This window comes from Homo sapiens, chromosome 3, assembly GCF_000001405.40.
Source record: "Homo sapiens chromosome 3, GRCh38.p14 Primary Assembly".
NCBI lineage: Eukaryota > Metazoa > Chordata > Mammalia > Primates > Hominidae > Homo > Homo sapiens.
In genome coordinates this window covers 130,190,202-130,210,649 of record NC_000003.12, presented here as the reverse complement: position 1 = coordinate 130,210,649, position 20,448 = coordinate 130,190,202, and the positions used below count along the sequence as shown (strand labels likewise).

The 20,448-nt window shown below is 42.6% G+C and overlaps 2 long non-coding RNA genes and 1 pseudogene across 2 annotated transcripts in view; 1 reads left to right on the top strand and 2 right to left on the bottom strand.

The window, feature by feature from the left end:
• Positions 1-5,319: 5,319 nt before the first annotated feature.
• Positions 5,320-20,448, top strand: part of LOC107986133 (uncharacterized) — a 38,839-nt gene continuing 23,710 nt past the window's right edge. Inside the window, exon 1 of the long non-coding RNA XR_001740907.2 lies at positions 5,320-8,701. This is a non-coding gene — a long non-coding RNA (uncharacterized LOC107986133). The remainder of the gene's footprint in view (positions 8,702-20,448) is intronic.
• On the bottom strand, positions 9,069-10,421 carry LOC124909433 (uncharacterized). Its single transcript, XR_007096085.1, has 2 exons — positions 10,385-10,421; positions 9,069-9,372 (listed from the first exon to the last, which is right to left on the bottom strand). It is a non-coding gene; the product is annotated as an uncharacterized LOC124909433 (long non-coding RNA).
• On the bottom strand, positions 10,158-10,939 carry SNRPCP8 (small nuclear ribonucleoprotein polypeptide C pseudogene 8; annotated as a pseudogene).

Sequence of the window (20,448 nt, the reverse complement as noted above, 5' to 3'; positions counted from 1 at the left end):
AACACCCAACTGATCTTCGACAAAGTAAACAAAAACAAAGTAGGGAAAGTACACCCTATACAACAAATAGTGCTGGGATAATTGGCAAGCCACATGTAAAATAATAAAACTGGATCCTCATCTCTCACCTTATACAGAAATCAACATAAGATGGATCAAAGACTTAAATCTAAGGTCTGAAACCATAAACATTCTAGAAGATAACATTGGAAAACGCTTCTACACATTGGCTTAGGCAAACAGTTCATGATCAAGAACCCAAAAGCAAATGCAATAGAAACAAAGATAAATAGATGGGACTTAATTAAAGTAAAAGCCTCCTGCACAGCATAGGAAATAATCAGCAGAGTAAACAGATCACCCACAGAGTGGGAGAAAATTTTCACAAACTGCATCTGACAAAGGACTAATGTCCAGAATCTACAGGGAACTCTAATCAGCAAGAAAAAAATAATCCCATCAAAAAGTGTGCCAAGGACATTAATAGACAATTTTCAAAAGAAGATATACAAATGGCCAACAAACATATGAAAAAATGCTCAACATCACAAATTACCAGGGAAATGCAAATCAAAATCACAATGCAATACCACGTGTAAAATAAACAAAAATAGAGCTGGGTGCGGTGGCTCATGCCTGTAGTCCCAGCACTTTGGGAGGCCGAGGTGGGCGGATCAGGAGGTCAGGAGTTTGAGACCAGCCTGACCAACATGGTGAAACCGAGTCTCTACTGAAAATACAAAAATTAGCCAGGCATGGTGGTGGTTGCCTGTAATCCCAGCTACTCAGGAGACTGAGGCAGGAGAATTGCTTGAACCCGGGAGGCAGAGGTTGCAGTGAGCTGATATCGCGCCACTGTACTCCAGCCTGGGTAACAGAGCGAGACTCCATCTCAAAAAAAAAAAAAAAAAAAAAAAAAAAGCAAAAATTGATGTTGGCACGGACGTGGTGAAAGAGAACGCTTTTACACTGATGGTGGGAATGTAAGCTAGTACCACCACTATGGAAAGCAGCATGGAGATTCCTTAAAGAACTAAAAGTAGATCTACCATTTGATCCAGCAATCCCACTGCTAGGTATCTACCCAGAGGAAAAGAAGTCATTATATGAAAAAGATACTTTTGCACACATGTTTACAGCAGCAAAATTCACAGTTGCAAAACTATAGAACCAGCCCAAATGCCCATCAATCAATTAGTGGATAAAGAAAATGTGTTTATATATATATATACACACACACACACACACACACACACACACACACACACACACACACACACACATATATATATATATATATATATATATATATATATACCATAGAATACTACTTAGCCTTAAAAAGGAATGAAATAATGGCATTCATAGCAACCTGGATGGAGTTGGAGACCATTATTCTAAATGAAGTAACTCAGGAATAGAAAACCAAACATTGCATGTTCTCACTCGTAAGTGGGAGCTAAGCTATGATGATGCAAAGGCACAAGAATGAAACAGTGGACTTTGGGGGCTCAGGGGGAAGGTGGGAGGAGTTGAGAGATAAAAGACTATACATTGGGTAAACTACTTTGGTGATGGGTACGCCAAAATTTCAGAGATCACCACTAAGGAACTTATCCATGTAACAAAATACCACCTGTTCCCTAAAAACTATTGAAATTAAAAATATATATATACAACAAATTGTTGTAGTCACTTTCTGTGATAATGAACACTAGATCTTATACCTTCTATTATATATTTTTATACCCATTAATCAACTTCTTTTCAAACCCCTTCTATTCCCAGCCTCTGGTAACTATCATTCTACTCTTTATCTCCATGATATCAATTTTATATAGCTCCAGGGCACACAAGTCCATAACTGCGGTCTCTATCCCTGACCCTACTGACCTGAAACATGGCCCCCACTTTGATTTCCAGGAGCATAAACCGCTCATATAAGTGAGAACATGCAATAGTTTTCTTTCTGTGCATGGCCTAGTTCACCTAACTTTATGACCTTTAATTCCATCCATTTAGCTGAAAATGACAGGATTTCATTCTTCTTTATGGCTGAATACTATTCTATTGTGCGTCTATTCCCATTTTCTTTATCCATTCATCCATTGATTGACACTTAGATTGAGTCCATATCTTGGCTATTGTAAATAGTGCTGCAGTAAATATGGGGGTACAGATATCCCGTTGATACACTGATATCCTTTTTTTTGGATATATACCCAGGAGTGGGATTGCTGGATCATATGGTAGATCTGTTCTTAGTTGTTTGAGAAATCTCTGTACTTTTTTTCATAATGGCTGTACTAATTTACATTCCCAACAATATATGATAATTTTCTTCTCTTCACATGCTTGCCAGCATTTGTTGTGCTTTGTCTTTTTAATAATAGCCATTCTAACAAGTATGAGATGATATCTCACTGTGGTTTTGATTTGCATTTCCGTGATTATTAGTGATGTTGAATATTTTTTCATAAACTTGGTGATTTGTATATCCTCTTTTGAGAAATGTCTGTTTATTTTTTGATAGTTTCTTTTGCTGTGCAGAAGCTCTTTCATTTAATTAGATCCCATTTGTCAATTTTTGCTTTTGTGGCAATTGCGTTTGGCATCTTCACCATGAACTCTTAGCCCATCACTATGTACCGGATGGTATTGCCTAGGTTGTCTTCCAGGGTTTTTATAGTTATGGGTTTTACATTTAAGTCTGTAGGCCATCTTGAGTTAATTTTTGTATATGGTGTAAGGGAGGGTTGTTGTCTTTTCACTCTGTTGATTGTTTTCTTTGATATGCAGAAGGTATTTAATTTAATATAATCCCATTTGTCTGTTTTTGTTGCTTGTACTTTTTAAGTGTTAGCCATACAATCTTTGTTCTCAAGCGTTTCTCCTGTGTTTACTTCTAGTAGTTTTATAGTTGTGGCTGTTACATTTAAGTCTTTAATCGATTTTGAGTTTATTTTTGTAAGTGATGAGAGATAAGGGTCTAGTTTTATTCTTCTGTGTTTGGATATCTAGTTTCCCTGGCACCATTTAATGAAGAGGGTGTCTTTTATTCAATGTATGTTCTTGACACCTTTCTTGAAAATCAGCTGTAAATATGTGGATTCATTTCTGGGTTCTTTAGTCTGTTTCCTTTGTTATTGTGTCTGTTTTAATACCAATACACTCTGTTTTGGTTACTATAGCTTTGCAGTATGTGTGTGTATATACATATATATATATATATATATATATATATATATATATATATATTTTTTTTTTTTTTTTTTTTTTTTTTTTTTTTTTTGAGACAGAGTCTTGCCTTGTCACTCAGGCTGGAGTGCAGTGATGCAATCTCGGCTCATTGCAAGCTCCGCCTCCCGGGTTCACGCCATTCTCCTGCCTCAGCCTTGGCTAATTTTTTTGTTTTTTTTTAATAGAGATGGGGTTTCACCGTGTTAGCCAGGATGGTCTCGATCTCCCGACCTCATGATCCACCCGCGCTGGCCTCCCCAAGTGCTGGGATTACAGGCATGAGCCACCACGCCCAGCTGCTTTGCAGTATACTTTTAAATCAGGTAGTGTGAGGCTTCTAGCTTTGTTCTTTTTGCTCAGTATTGCTTTGGCTATTTGGGGTCTTCTGTGGTTCCATATGAATTTCAGGGTTTTTTTTTTTCCTGTTTCTGTGAAGAATATAATTGATAGGGATTATACTGAATCTCTAGATTGCTTCGGGTAGTGTCATTTTAACAGTATTAGTAATTCCAAGCCACGAGCATGAGATGCTTTTCCATTTGTTTGTGTCTTCTCAATTTATTTTATCAGTGTTTTGTGGTTTTCATTGTAGAGGTTTTTTTTTTTTTTTTTCCCCATCCTTGGTTAAGTTTATTCCTAGGTATTTTATTTTTGTAGCTATTGTAAATAGAATTTCTTCCTTGGTTTCTTTTTTAGCTAGTTTGTTACTGGTATATAGAAACATTACTGATTTTTGTATGTTGATTTTGTGTCCTAAAGCTTTACTGAATTATACATCTGTTTTTTTAAATTTTTTTTATTTTTTATTTTTTGAGATAGAGTCTCGCTCTCTTGCCCAGGCTGGAGTGCAGTGATGCAGTCTTGGCTCACTGCAACCTCCGCCTCTGGGTTTCAAGTGATTCTCCTGCTTCAGCCTCCCAAGTAGCTGTGATTACAGGCACCTACCACCATGGCTGGTTAATTGTATTTTTAATAGAGACAGGATTTCACCATGTTGGCCAGGCTGGTCTCAAACTCCCAACCTCAGGTGATCCGCCCACCTTGGCCTCCCAAAGTGCTGGGATAACAGGCATGAGCTACCATGCCCAGCCTAATTTATCCATTTTAAGAGTTTTTTGGTGGAGTCTTTAGGTTTTTCTGTTTACAAGTATAAGATTATGTCATCTGCAAAGTGAGACAATTTGACTCCCTCTTGTCTAGTTTGGATGCCTTTTATTTCTTTATTTTGTCTGATCACTCTGGCTTGGATGTCCCATACTGTGTTGAATAAGAGTGGTGAAAGTGGGCATCCTTGTCTTGTTCCAGTTCTTAGAGGAAAAGCTTTTCAATTTTTCCCAGTGAGTAGGATGTTAGCTGTAGATTAGTCATATATGCCTTTTCTTATGTTGAAGTGTTCCTTCTATGCCTAATTTGTTGAGAGTTTTCATCATGAAGCAATGGTAAGTTTTACCGAGTGATTTTTCTGCATCTGCTGAGATGATCAGATAGTTTTTGCCTTTCATCTTGTTGATGTGATGTATCACATGCATTGATTTTGTGTACGTTGAGCCATCTTTGCATTCCTGGGATAAATCCCACTTGATCATGGTATATTATCTTTTTCATTCATCATTAGATTTGGCTTGGTAGTATTATGCTGAGAATTTGTCCATCTGTGTTCATTAGGAATATTGGCCTGTAGTTTTCTCTTTCTGTTGTGTCCTTGTCTTGATTGGATATCAGGGTAATGCTGGCCTTATACAATGAGTTAGGAAGAATTCCCTCCTCTTCAATTTTTGGGAATAGTTTGAGAAGAATTGGTGTTTGTTTTTCTTTATAAACTGGGTAGAAATCAGCATAAAAGCCTACTCTAGGGCTTTTCTCTTTGGGGAGACTTTTTGTTACTGATTCAAACCTGCTATTCATTTTGAGTCAGTTCAGGTTTTCTGTTTCTTCCTAGTTCAATCTTGGTAGGCTGTGTATGTCTGGGAATTTATCCCTTTCCTCTAAGTTTTCCAATTTGTTAGGATATGCTTGTTCATAATAGCCTCTAATCATCCTTTTTATTTCTTTGGTAACAGTTGTAATATCTCCTTTTTCATTTCTGATTGTATTTATTTGGGTCTCCTTTCTTTCTCTTTTTTTTTTTTTTTTGGTTAGCCTCACTAGTGGTTTATCAGTTTTGTTTAACTTTTCAAAAAAACAACTTTTATCTTGTTGATTCTTTGCATTTCTTTTTTGTCTCTGTTGCATTTGGTTCTGCTGTTATTTTTTTTTCTTTCTACTAATTGTGTGTTTGGTTTGTTCTTGCTTTTTGAGTTCCTTGAGGTGCAACATTAGGTTGTTTATTTGAGATCTTTCTACTTTTTTGGTGTAGGCATTTATTGCTATAAACCTTCCTCCTAGTATTGCTTTTGCTGTATCCCATAGGTTTTGCATGATGTGTTTCCATTTTCTGTTTAAAAAAATTTTTTGATTTTCATCTTAATTTCTTCATTGACTCAATGATCATTCAATAGCACATTTAATGTCCATGTATTTGTACAGTTTCCAAATTTTTTGTTATTGATTTCAAGTTTTATTCCATTGTGGTCTGAGAAGATACTTGATATGATTTTAATGTTTAAAATTTTGTTGAGCCTTGTTTTGTGTCCTAACATATGGTCTATCCTGGAGAATGTTCCATGTGTTGATGAGATGATTGTGTATTCTGCTGCTGCTGGATGAAATATTCTGAAAATATCTGTTAGGTCCATTTGGTCTAAAGTGCAGCTTAAATCTAATGTTTCTTTGTTGATTTTATGTCTAGATGAACTGTCCAATGCTGACAGTAGGATATTGAAGTTCTCAACTATCATTGTATTGGACTCTATCTCTCTCTGTAGATTTAATAATATTTGCTATGTGTGTCTGGATGCACTTGTGTTGGTTGCATGCATATTTAGAATTGTTATATTTTGTTGCTGAATTGATCCCTTTATTACCATATAATGACCTTCTTTGTCCTTTTTACAGTTTTTGACTTAAAGTCTGTTTTATCTGATGCAAGTTTAGCTACTCCTGATTACTTTTGATTTCTGTTTGTGTGGCATATCTTTTTCAATCTCTTCACTTTCAGTCTGTGTGTGTCTTTACAAGTGAAGTGAGTTTCTTGTAGACGTTGTTGGGTCATTTTTTATCCATTAAGCCTGTCTCTATCTTTTAGGTAGGTAATTTAACACATATTCGAAGTTATTGTTGATAGGTGAGGACTTATTCCTGTCATTTTGTTCATTGTTTGCTGGTTATTTTGTATATCCTTTTGATTTCATTTAGCTGTGTCCCCACTCAGATCTCATCTTGAATTCCCATGTGTTGTGGGAGGGACCCAGTGAGAAGTAGTTGAATCATGGGGGCAGGTATTTTCCATGCTATTCTTTTGATAGTGAGTAAGTCTCATGAGATCTGATGGTTTTAAAAGGAGGAGTTTCCCTGCTCAAGCTCTCTCTTTGCCTGCTGCCATCCCTGTAAGATGTGACTTGTCTCTCCTTGACTTCCGCAATGATTTTGAAGCCTCCCCAGCAACGTAGAACTACAGTTTAAGTCCATTAAACCTCTTTGTTTTGTAAATTTCCCAGTCTTGTATGTGTCTTTATCAGCTGTGTGAGAACGGACTAATACAGTAAATTGGTACCAGAAGTGGGGTGTTGCTAAAAGATACCTGAATATGTGGAAGTGACTTTGGAACTGGGAAACAGGCAGAGGTTGGAGGGCTCAGAAGGAGACAGGAAAATGTGGGGAAATTTGGAAGAGATTTCCTAGAGACTTGCCCAAAATGCTGATGGTTATATGGACAATAAAGTCTAGGCTGAGGTGGTCTCAGATGGAAATGAGGAACTTGCCGGGAACTGGCACAAAAGTGACTCCTGTTATGTTTTAGCAAAGAGACTGGTGGCATTTTGCCCCTGCTGTAGAGATTTGTGGAATTTTGAACTTGAGAGAGATGATTTAGGTTATCTGGTAGAAGAAATTTCTAAGCAGCAAAGCATTCAAGAGATGACTTGGGTGCTGTTAAAGGCCCTCAGTTTTATAAGGGAAGCAGAGCACAAAAGTTTGGAAGATTTGCAGCCTGACAATGCAATAGAAAAGAAAATCCCATTTTCTCAAGAAAAATTCGATCTGGCTGCAGAAGTTTGTTTAAGTAACGAGGAGTCAAATGTGAATCTCCAAGACAATGGGGAAAGTGTCTCCAGGGCATGTCACAGAGCTTCATGGCAGCCCCTCCCATCAAAGGCCCAGCGGCCTAGGAAGAAAAGATGGTTTTGTGGACTGGACCCAGGGCCCCCTGCTGTGAGCAGCCTCGGGTGCCTGAGTCTTAGCCACTCCAGCTGCACCTAAAAGGAACCAAGGTACAATGTGGGCTGTGGCTTCAGAGGGTGCAAGCCCCAAACCTTAGCAGCTTCCACATAGTGTTGAGCCCGTGGGTGCACAGAAGTCAAAAATCGAGGTTTCGGAACTGCTGCCTAGACTTCAGAAGGTGTATGGAAATGCCTAGTTGTCCAGGCAGAAGTTTGCTGCAGGGGCAGGGCACTCATGGAGAACCTCTACTAGGGCAGTGCAGAAGGGAAATGTGGGGTCGAAGCCCCAACATAGAGTCCCTACTGCAGCACCACCTAGTGGACCTGTGAGAAGAGGGCCACCATCCTCCAGACCCCAGAATGTTGGATTCACTGACAGCTTGCGCTGTGTGCCTGGAAAAGCTGCAGACACTCAATGCCAACCCGTGAAAGAGCCAGGAGGGGGTTTATACCCACAAAGCCACAGGAGTGGAGCTGTGGCCTTTTTTCTCCCAAGGCCATGGGAACCCACCTCTTACATCAGCATGACCTGCATGTGAGACATGGAGTCAAAGGAGATCATTTTGGGGCTTTGAGATTTGACTGCCCCACTGGATTTTGGGCTTGCATGGGGCCTGTAGCCCCTTTGTTTTGGCAATTTTTTCCCATTTGGAATGACTGTGTTTACCCAATGCCTATACCCCCATTGCATCTAGGAAGTAACTAACTTGGTTTTGATTTTACGTGCTCATAGGTGGAAGGGATTTGCCTTGTCTCACATGAGACTTTGGACTGTGGACTTTTGAGTTAATGCTGAACTTAGTTAAGACTTTGGGGGACTGTTGGGAAGGCAAAATTTGTTTTGAAATGAGATTTGGCAAGGGCCAGGGGCAGAATGATATGCTTTGGTTGTGTTCCCACCCAAATCTCATCTTGAATTCCCACATGTTGTGGGAGGGACCTGGTGGGAAGTAATTGAGTCATGGGGACAGGTCTTTCCCATGCTGTTCTCATGATAGTGAATACGTCTCACAATGTCTGATGGTTTTAAAAAGGGTAGTTTCCCTGCAGAAGCTCTCTTTTGCCTGCTGCCATCCAGGTGAGACATGACTTGCTTTTTCTTGCCTTCCAACATGATTGTGAGGCTTCCTCAGCTACGTGGAAATGTAAGTCCATTAAACCTCTTTCTTTTGTAAATTGCCCAGTCTCAGTCAGGTATGTCTTTATCAGCAATGTGAAAACAGACTAATACACCTTTGTTCCTTTTTTCTCTCATTATTTATTGTTGCAGTTTGGTGGTTTTCTTTAATGGTGACGTTTGAATCCTTTCTCCTTTGTGTGTCTGCACTACCATGAGTTTTATACTTTCATGTATTTTCATGATGGTAGATATTGTTCTTTTGCTTCCCAGTGTAGGACTCCCTTAAGCATTTTTTGTAGGACCACAACAAACAAGACACAAACAAACAGTCTTTTGCTTATCTGGGAAATATTTTTTCTCTTTTTTAAGCAATGGAGTCTCACTCTGTCACCCAGGCTTAATACAACAGTCATTTATTTTCATGGATCTATGGGTCAGCTGAGGATTGGTTAATCTAGCATGAGCATGTCTGGGAAACTCTGCTTTGCTCTTGGTGTCTCTTATCTTCTGCTGGAAGCAGCAGGCTGGCCTGGGCTTGTTCTCATGGTGATAGCAGGAGCGAGTGAGCACAAATGAATGCATACATTCCAAGTTTTTGGTCATGCAGATTAATATTCCAGTGGCCAAAGCTAGACACATGACTAAACCCAACATTAGGGGCTGGAGAAATATACTCCAATTCTTCAGTGGGAGGAGCTGCAGAGACAAATGGCAGAGTCTTGGTTACAGGGAGGACATGGATCCATTAATGTACCTTAATCAACTGCAACCCTCTAACCACCAATACAATTAAATAAGTATTTGTTGAATGCACTTGTGCCTGAATGCTTCTGGCTGCAGCCCAGGCAATGGGGGCCTGACTGCGGAGGGACCATAGCAGGGACTCGATGTCCTGCAGGTCTGCATGTAATTGTGTACGGCCGACTCCACATTGGTCATGGCTGATTTGCTTTGTCCTGCGTCCCCAAGGGGCAACGATTGGCTGATTTTATTTCTGAACAATTTTGACAAAGTTGTTTTCAGGGGCCCAGGAAACAAATCAATTGTAGATTTGAATTTTGCAGGGGGTCAGAATTGTTGAATATATATATAGTCTTTTACATGCTGATAATTATTTCCATACCACAAAGAAGGCTAGCTATTAGGAGGCTGCTGTTCAATTCCTTTGCCCCGTGAGCTCATGAGCTGTGTCTATGTGGGGGGCACTCACTTGTTAGAGATATTTCCCTTCAGAATAACATTAGCCAATATTCTAAATAAATGCAGGAAATTAAATAGTCTTCCCCAGACAGGTACTTTGCCCTTCTAAAGTGAATTACACATTGTAAAATAAAACACAGTCACATTAAAAAACCAAAAGGTCTTTGTGTTAGGTTGGTCTGGCATCAGCAAAGATATTTTCCTCCAGAGTAGAAGATCCCTTTAATGCACGATATTGCGTGTGGCAGCCCCACATCTCGTTTCCTTTTCTTTGTTGTTGTTTTTAACTAAAAGAGTTGACAATTTTATTTTCACATTTCCCAATAGAAATGAAAACTGCATCTTTTTTGTTCCCACTTCTCCCCTCCAAAACTATTCTCTTTGATAGGGCAAGCGGGCAAGTCTTCCTTATGCTGTTAAGAAAACCCGGCATCACAGCAGCATGATCTCCTGGTGAAGGGAGCAGGTAAATATAAAACTCATATAGGCCAGGCGCAGTGGCTCACACCTGTAATCCCAGCACTTTGGGAGGCTGAGGCGAGCGGGTCACGAGGTCAGGAGATTGAGACCATCCTCGCCAACATGGTGAAACCCTGTCTCTACTAAAATAAAAAAAATTAGTCGGGCATGGTGCGCACGCCTGTAGTCCCAGCTACTCAGGAGGCTGAGGCAGGGGAATCGCTTGAACCCAGGAGGTGGAGGTTTCAGTGAGCTGAGATCGTGCCACTGCCCTCCAGCCTGGGCGACAGAGGAAGACTGTGTCTCAAAAACAAAACAAAACATTACAAACAAAGAAAACACAACATTAATAACAACAAAACAACACTGATGTAATGAGGCCTCCCCTCTATCCTTATCTGTCTGGTCAAGTCATTTTGGGCTGACTGGGCACCATCATGAGACGGGCAGGAGGTCTCATCATTGGGCACCCAGGCATCATGGGCATGTGGCCTCCCATGGGTGGCCTCATTCCAGGAGCAGGTCCCACTGGCATCATCCCAGGAGGAGGAGGGCCCATCATTGGCATCACGGGAGGGCCCCCCATATGGGGTGCTGCCATCATTCTGAGATGTGCAAGAAGTGTCAAATACACATTAGACTGTGAAGACTTAATGTAAAAAGAAAGCAAAGTATTTTGTTAATGTTAAAATATTTTATACTTGTAGACCTGGTATTTCGGATAGATTTGTTTAAATCTGTGATATTATTCCAATTACCTTCACTTCTTTTGTTTTACTTTTTAAAATGTGGTTACTACAAAATGCAAAAGTAAATATGTGGCTTCCATCATATTTCATCACATTTAGTGTGGGCCCTGAGGATCTAGGGGAGTTATGAGCCTTAAGTTGAGGGTGACCCAGGTCAACGTGAATTGCTCTGAAAGAGAAGCAAAGGGCATAAAGAGAACGTATAAATGGAGAGAGGGAGCTCAGTCTCACAGGGTGAGGAAAGGCTTTCTTTCTTACACAGTCTGGCACTTCTTCAAAAGCTTAAACACAGAGTTCTATGACCCACCACTTCCACTCCAGTTTATGAAAGAAATGAAAATATATGTCCGTGCAGAAACTTGTATACAAATGCTCATAGCAGCATTATTCATAATAGCGCCAAAGTGAAAACAACACAAATGCTTGTCTACTGATGAGTGGAGAAATAGAACATGGTTTGACCATGCAATGGAATATTATTCAGTCATCAAAAGGAATGAAGTACTCACACGTGCTACAACACAGATGAACTATGAGAATATTATGCTAAGTAGAAGAAACCAGTCACAAAGGTCACATATTATAAGATTTCATTTATATGAAATGTCCAGAACAGGCAAATCTATGAAGACAGGAACCCTGTCTCTACTAAAAATACAAAATTAGATGGGCGTGGTGGCATATCCCTGTAATCCCAGCTACTCGGGAGGCAGGAGAATTGCTTTAACCCGGGAGGCGGAGGTTGCAGTGAGCCGAGATTGTGCCACTGCACTCCAGCCTGTGACAGAGACTCTATCTCAAAAAAAGTAGATTGTCAGGGCTTAGTGGGAGGAGGAAATGGCAGGTACCTGCTCATGGATACAGGGTTTCTTTTGGGGTGATGAAAATGTTTTAAAATTGATCATGATGGTGGTTGCCGAGCTCTGTGAATGCACTGAAACCATTGATTTGTTTACTTTAAATTGGCAAATCATACGGTACCTGAATTATATTTTAATAGTTATATTAAAAAAGTAAAATCTTCCTTGAAGAGATGACACTTAAGGAGAGGCGTAGGGGGTGGGATGAGTTCACTATGTGGAGAAATGAGGAACAGCATTTCAGGGTGAGGAACACCATAGTAAAGTCCCTGAGGTTGATAGGCATAGAGCAGATGTAAGGGACTGTTTTTTTTGAGACGGACTTTCACTCTTGACGCCCAGGCTTGGGTGGAGTGGTGCCGTCCTGGCTCACTGCAACCTCTGCCTCCCGAGTTCAAGCGATTTTCCTGCCTCAGTCTCCCGAGTAGCTAGGATTACAGGTGCCATCCACCACACGTGGCTAATTTTGGGATATTTAGTAGAGATGGGGTTCCACCATGTTGACCAGGCTGGTCTCGAACTCCTGATCTCAGGTGATCCACCCGCCTCAGCTTCCCAAAGTGCTGGGATTACAGGCATGAGCCACTGTGCTCAGCCAGATTTAAGGGACTTTCAAGAAGTTTCTGTGGCTGAAGCCTGCAGGGCAAGCGAGAGAATCAGGAAATGAGGCTGGAGAAAGAGAGGGGCTAGGTCATGGAGGGTCTCACATTAGGGTGTGGAAACTTCACACGAGTGGTCCCACCTTGGGCATCCCACGTAACTACTCTCTGTCCCAGCTTCCCCACTGGTGAAATAAAGGGCTGATGTAGGGATGGACTGAGATAGTGTGTGCTCAGAAAATGTGACCTTTTATCTTTTTTTTTTTTTTTTTCCGAGATGGAATCTCATTCTGTCGTCCAGGCCGGAGTGCAGTGGCGCGATCTCGGCTCACTGCAAGCTCCACCTCCCGGGTTCACGCCATTCTCCTGCCTCAGCCTCCGGAGTACCTAGGACTACAGGCTCCCGCCACCACGCCCAGCTAATTTTTTTGTATTTTTAGTAGAGACGGGGTTTCACCGTGTTAGGGAGAATGGTCTGGATCTCCTAAAGTCGTGATCCGGCCGCCTCGGCCTCCCAAAGTGCTGGGATTACAGGCGTGAGCCCCCGCGCCCGGCCGAGCTTTTATCATTGTTAACCCACACAGCAGAGGGAGCCATTGAAAGTTGAGTGATCTGTTTGGATGCACCTTCTGAAGTGATTGCTTTGGTCCCTGTGAGGAATGCAGATTGTCACAGGGCCAGGGAAAAGCAGAGGCCAGTCTGGAGGCATTTGCAGTCAAACAGCTGGAGGTGATGGTGGCTTGGTTTATGGTGGTGTCAGGAGAGTGGCTGAGCAGTGAAGGATATGAGAAAGATTTAGGAGGTAAAACCCACGTGACTTGGTCACTGAATGTGAGTTGTGTGGGCTGGAGGGAAGGTAGGAAAGAATGAGAAGAAAAACATAAGCAGGTGGGCCCTCCAGCCTAAGGTTACTTGAGGTCCCTTTGTGAAGAGGAGTGTTTGTGTTGATGATGAAGATGTCTAGACTTTGAAAGTCCATTTGCAGGACTTTTTTTTTTTTTTAACAGCCAACAACTCCTCCTTCCCTGTGCCCTAAATATATGAATGTTTTTTGACCTAATTTATCACAGAGGGATGGACGTTCATTTGCTTTAATGAGAAATGCGGAATGCCATTAAGAAAGCATATTAAATTAATCTGGATTGCTGTGAGGGAGTTAAATCTGTTTAGATGTGCATCAGTGTGAGTATAATAGTTTGGTCTCAACCCATTTCTGGACTGTGGCTGCAGGAGGTTGACTCCCAGCTTGCTTTCATTTGAAAGATCCCAGCAACAAGCACATTTGGCATTTCCAGCCAAACCCACTTTGTGCAGCGAAGGAAAAGTTGAGGAGTGCCTCTGTTGTTTTCCCCCAAATCATTAGGCAGAAATGTGGCTGGGAGCTTCATTGCTGATTTTTTCAGTTTTAATATTGCTGTGGAAAGCCTGTACCAACACTCAGCCGTGTTATTCATCCACAGCTCCAGTCTGGGCTGTGATTTGTTTTTCCTTTGAGTGACACAACCTTATTTTCCATTAAGACTCAATGCAAATAGACACTCATGCACCATCACCATCACTCCCCCTGATTGGTGGAGGGAAGTCAATGGAGTGATTCTAGTTTGGTGTTCATATCGGAGGGTTTTATTTATTTATTCTGAGACGGAATCTCTCTCTGTCACCAGGCTGGAGTGCAGTGGCGCGCTCTCGGCTCACTGCAACCTCTGACTCCCTGGTTTAAGCGATTCTCCTGCCTCAGCCTCCCGAGTAGCTGGGCTTACAGGCATGTGCCACCACGCCCGGCTAATTTTTTGTATTTTTAGTATAGACGGGGTTTCACCGTGTTAGCCAGGATGGTCTTGATCTCCTGACCTCGTGATCCGTCCGCCTCGGCCTCCCAAAGTGCTAAGATTATAGGCGTGAGCCACTGCGCCTGGCCTGGAGTTGTTTTTAAAAGCACATTTCTCTCAAATTAACTCCGGGGTGTCCCACTGTGACTAGGGCAAACGTTTGGATTTTCTGGAGGTGGAAAGTCAAACTTCAAATAGAATTTGGAGGCTGCCACTGTGGTTCATGCCTGTAATCCCAGTACTTTGGGAGGCTGAGGTGGGTGGATCATTTGAGGCCAGAAGTTCGAGACCAACCTGGGCAACATGATGAGGCCTTGTTTCTACTAAAAATACAAAAATTAGCTAGGTGTGATGGTACATGCCTGTAATCCCAGCTACTTAGGAGGCTGAGGCAGGAGTTATTGCTTGAACCTGGGAGGCAGAGATGTCATGTGTCCAAATCCCATGAGGCGTATCAGCTGGCTGAAGATAAAATCGGTCACGCTGTGTTGAGATTGGGGTTGCTGTTATCATCCCTCATCCCCACCCCTGCTAGGCATCCACAAACAGTCATCTTCAATGAGACATCCCTCCTGCCCCTGGCTGCCTTATTTCATCTGCACCCAACCATATCCATTGCTTGTCAGTGGGTCTCAACCTTGGCTGCACCTTGGAATCTCCTGGGGAGATGAAACAATACCAAGGCTCTCTCTCACTCAGCATGATGTTTCCAAGGTCCATCCACATGTAGTAGGCACCAATACTTTCATTGTATGGATACAGCACATTTTGTTTATTCATTCATCAACCAAATGACCATCTTTGTTGTTGCTACCTTTTGGTTATTATATATATTACATGATTCCATTTATGTGAAAGGTCCAGAATAGGCAAATCTGTAGAGGCAGAAAGCAGGTAAGTGGTTGCCAGGAACTGGGGGAAAGGGGAGGGGATGGAGAGTGCTTGATTGGATACAGGGTTATTTTTTGGGGGGGCGGGGGGTGTTAATGAAAATGTTTTGGAACTAGACAGAGATGATGATTGCTTAACATTGTGAATGTATTTAATGATACTGAAGTATATGGTTTCATACAGGGACTTGTGTGTTATGTGAATTTTGCCTCACGAAAAAAATACTGCTAGGAGCAATGGCTCATGCCTGTAATCCCAGCACTTTGGGAGGCCAAGGCGGGCGGATCACCTGAGGCTGGGAGTTGGAGACCTGCCTGGCCAACATGGTGAAAACCTATCTCTATTAAAAATACATAAATTATCCCTTCACATCTTTGGGGGGTAATTTTTACAATGCAGTCTAACAACCAGCTGCCTCAAAATGAACTGGGATCCCTCGTAACCAGGTAGCTCCCCCGTCTCCAACTCTGACCTGCCAAGTCAGAATCTTGTGGGTGGGGCCGAGGACTGTACATATTGAAACAGGCAGTAACCTGGGAACTATTTCTGAACACCCCTATGTTTCCCCTGTGTTTGCTCTTTCCTTTCACATTTGGACCCCCTTTTGTGCTGACCACTGGCCTGTTTCACGTAGACATAACATAAATAAGACAGGCCAGGTGCAGTGGCTCATGCCTGTAATCCCAGCACTTTGGGATGCCGAGGTAAGCGAATCACTTGAGGCCAGGAGTTCAAGATCTGTCTGGCCAACATGACGAAACCCCATCTCTACCAAAAATATGAAGTTAGCTGGGTGTGGTGATGTACACCTTTGATCCCAGCTACTCAGGAGGCTGAGGCTGGAGAATCCCTTGAGCCCAGGAGGCAGAGACTGCAGTGAGCTGAGATAGCACCATTGCACTCCAGCCTGGGTGACAGTGAGACTCTTTAAAAAAAAAAAAAGAAAAAGATAGTCATTCCTTTATGGAGCTCTCAGTAAAACAAGAAAGCTCACGATGTCCTGGCATTTGTCAGAAATACATTTGGTATATGTAGCTAGGGTCACATGCTTGACATGCCTATTGAAAGCTTCTGGGTAGGAAGAGAACAATCAACACAGCATCACAGCCTGGCATAACTGTCTCCCAGGACAGGTCTCCCTGGGGAGACTGAGACCACACCTCTGAAATCAGAGCTCAAATCCAGGTTCTACATTTCGCTCAGTAATGTACATGATGTAGGACAGTTTTTTTTTTTTTTTTTTTTTTTTTTTGAGACGGAGTCTCGCTCTGTCGCCCAGGCTGGAGTGCAGTGGCGGGATCCCGGCTCACTGCAAGCTCCGCCTCCCGGGTTCACGCCATTCTCCTGCCTCAGCCTCCCAAGTAGCTGGGACTACAGGCGCCCGCCACTACGCCCGGCTAATTTTTTTGTATTTTTAGTAGAGACGGGGTTTCACCGTTTTAGCCGGGATGGTCTCGATCTCCCGACCTCGTGATCCGCCCGCCTCGGCCTCCCAAAGTGCTGGGATTACAGGCGTGAGCCACCGCGCCCGGCCAGGACAGTTTTTATATTAGTTATCTATTGCTGTGCAACAATATTACTGCAAACTTTGTGGCTTGAGACAGCAGACAGTTATCACTGCATGGTTTCTGTGGGTCAGGAATCCAGGCGTGACTCAGCTGGGTTCAGTGCAAGGCTGCAACCATAGTGTCAGCCAGGGCTCAGTTCTCATCTGGAGGCTTGACTGGTGATTGATCTGCTTCCAGGCTCATCTGGTTGTTGGCAGCATTCAGTTCCTTGCAGGCTGCTGGACTCAGGGCCCCAGTTTGTTGATGCCCTCAGCTTTTTGCCAAATGGGCCTCTCCATCTGGCCGCTCATGACATGGCAGCTCACATCTTCAAAGCCAGCGAGACAGACAGCCTCCTAGCCAGACAACTTAACATCCTATCTAACATAATCACTACATCCCATCACCTCTGCCATATTCTCTTGGTTATAAGAAAGTCGTAGGTCCCTTTGTCAGACGAGTAGATTGCAAAAATTTTCTCCCATTCTGTAGGTTACCTGTTCACTCTGATGGTAGTTTCTTTTGCTGTGCAGAAGCTCTTTAGTTTAATTAGATCCCATTTGTCAATTTTGGCTTTTGTTGCCATTGCTTTTGGTGTTTTAGACATGAAGTCCTTGCCCATGCCTATGTCCTGAATGGTATTGCTGAGGTTTTCTTCTAGGGTTTTTATGGTTTTAGGTCTAACATTTAAGTCTTTAATCCATCTTGAATTAATTTTTGTATAAGGTGTAAGGAAGGGATCCAGTTTCAGCTTTCTCCATATGGCTAGCCAGTTTTCCCAGCACCATTTATTAAATAGGGAATCCTTTCCCCATTGCTTGTTTTTGTCAGGTTTGTCAAAGATCAGACAGTTGTAGATGTGTGGCATTACTTCTGAGGGCTCTGTTCTGTTCCATTAGTCTGTATCTCTGTTTTTGTACCAGTACCATGCTGTTTTGGTTACTGTAGCCTTGTAGTATAGTTTGAAGTCAGGTAGTGTGATGCCTCTAGCTTTGTTCTTTTGGCTTAGGATTGACTTGGCAATGTGGGCTCTTTTTTGGTTCCATATGAACTTTAAAGTAGTTTTTTCCAATTCTGTGAAGAAAGTCATTGGTAACTTGATGGGGATGGCATTGAATCTATAAATTACCTTGGGCAGCATGGCCATTATCATGATATTGATTCCTCCTAGCCATGAGCATGGAATGTTCTTCCATTTGTTTGTATCCTCTTTTATTTCATTGAGCAGTAGTTTGTAGTTCTCCTTGAAGACGTCCTTCATGTCCCTTGTAAGTTAGATTCCTCGGTATTTTATTCTCTTTGAAGCAATTGCGAATGGGAGTTCACTCATGATTTGGCTCTCTGTTTGTCTGTTATTGGTGTATAAGAATGCTTGTGATTTTTGCACATTGATTTTGTATCCTGAAACTTTGCTGAATTTTGGTATTTTTAGTAGACATGGGGTTTGCTGAATGCAGCCCCCAGTCACGTACTCCCTGCTTGGTCAATAGATCAAGACCCCCTCATGTAGACCCCCTTAGAGTTGTGAGCCCTTAAAAGGGACAGGAATTGCTCACTTGAGGAGCTGGGTTGTTAGAGACATGCACCACCATGCCCAGCTAATTTTTTTATTTTTAGTAGAGACGGGGTTTCACCATGTTGGTTGGCCAGGATAGTCTCGATCTCTTGACCTCCTGATCCACCCACCTCGGCCTCCCAAAGTGCTGGGATTACAGGCGCGAGCCACTGCACCCAGCCCAGAGAAGGCTTTTCATACTTGCTTCACAGCCTCCTGCATCCTACCCCAGCACCAGGCACTCACCACCTGTGGGCTGCGCTCATCTGTGATCATCTCTCCCCAGGCCTGCTGTTCCTCGAGAAAGGAAGTTGTAACGGGCAGAGTTCTAGGACAGCCCCCAAGAGACCCACTCCCTTATATCTGCTCCCTGTATCATCTCCTCTTCTTGAGTGTGTGCAGAGCTTGTGATTTGACCAAGAGGAAGGAATTTTGCAAATGTGATTATGGTCACACTTGCTTTGTTAAGCACATTTGCTCAGCTGACTTTGAGTTCATCCAAAGCAGGATGATCTTAGGTGGGCCAGACCTAATCAGGTGAATCTTTTAAAGGTGAAGTTTCAGAGATTGAACCCTTAGCCTCCAAGGAGACACAAATGGCCATGCTGTGAGCTGTCTTTGGAGGTGGCAGCTCTAGGAGTTGAGGGCCTTCATTCAACAATTGTAAGTAATCGAATTCAGTTCACAGACTGAATAAGCTTGGAAGAAGACACTGAGCATCCGATGAGACCCCAGCTCCAACTGACACTCTGGTTGCCGTATTGTGACCCTGAATAGAAGACCCAGTTAAACCCTGCCCAGACCCTTGGCTCATGAAAACAGATAATAACTGGGTGGTGTTTTAAGCTGCTCAGTTTGCACTGGTAAATCCACCAATAGGAAAGTAATATAGAAGTTAAATGGGCCGGACGTGGTGGCTCATGCCTGTAATCCCAACACTTTGGGAGGCTAAGGTGGGTGGATCACAAGGGCAAGAGATGGAGACCATCCTGGCCAACATGGTGAAACCCCGTCTCTACTAAAAATATAAAAATTAGCCAGGCGTGGTGGCATGCACCTGAAGTCCCAGCTACTCAGGAGGCTGAGGCAGGAGAATCACTTGAACCCAGGAGGTGGAGGTTGCAGTGACCCGGGACCATGCCACTGCGCTCCAACCTGGGCAACAGAGAGAGACTCCATCTCAAAAAAAAAAAAAATTTAAACGAATACTTTTGACAGTTGATGGAAGTTACTTTCATTCCCTCTTACTTAATCATCTTTATCTTAGCCCTGAAAGAGGGATGCTTTAACCCCATTTGTAACAAGTGAGTCTCAGGCCCAGGAAAGTGATAGAATTTAGCAAAGTCCACCTTGCCACCTGGTGGCCCCAGCTAGAACTTAGCCCCAGGTCCATATACCTAAAGTCATTACAACATACACTGAAATTTTGCCCCTCTCTCCATGCCTTCCTCTTTGGAAGCCTGTTCCTTCAGGGATAGATCCCAACCCAGTGTTACAAGGTACTGAACTCTGATTTTCACAAAATATAGTAACTACCCCCCAAAATTAATAATAGTATTTTTGAGCCAGGCACGGTAGTTCATGCCTGTAATCCCAACACTTTGGGAGGCTGAGGTGGGCGGATCATGAGGTCAAGAGATCGAGAGCATCCTGGACAACATGGTGAAACCCCGTCTCTACTAAAAATACAAAAATTAGCTGCGAGTGGTGGCAGGCGTCTGTAATCCCAGCTACTCGGGAGGCTGAGGCAGGAGAATAGCTTGAACCCAGGAGGCAGACTTTGCAGTGAGCTGAGATTGCACCACTGCACTCCAGCCTGGCAACAGAGCAAGACTCTGTTTCAAAAAAAAAAAAAAAAAAACAAAACTATTTTTGAGTCTTTATGTGTCAACCACTGGGCTATCCCAAAACCAATAGATATTACGATTATTAGTTTTTCCATTTTATTGATGAGGAAACCAACACATATAAACATAAAGGAACTTGCCAAAGGTGACGGTCACACAGCCAAAGAACTGTAGAAGCAGCACAGGCATCCCAGCAAACTCACAGCCAAGCTCTGCTTTTCACCTTCACATCATAC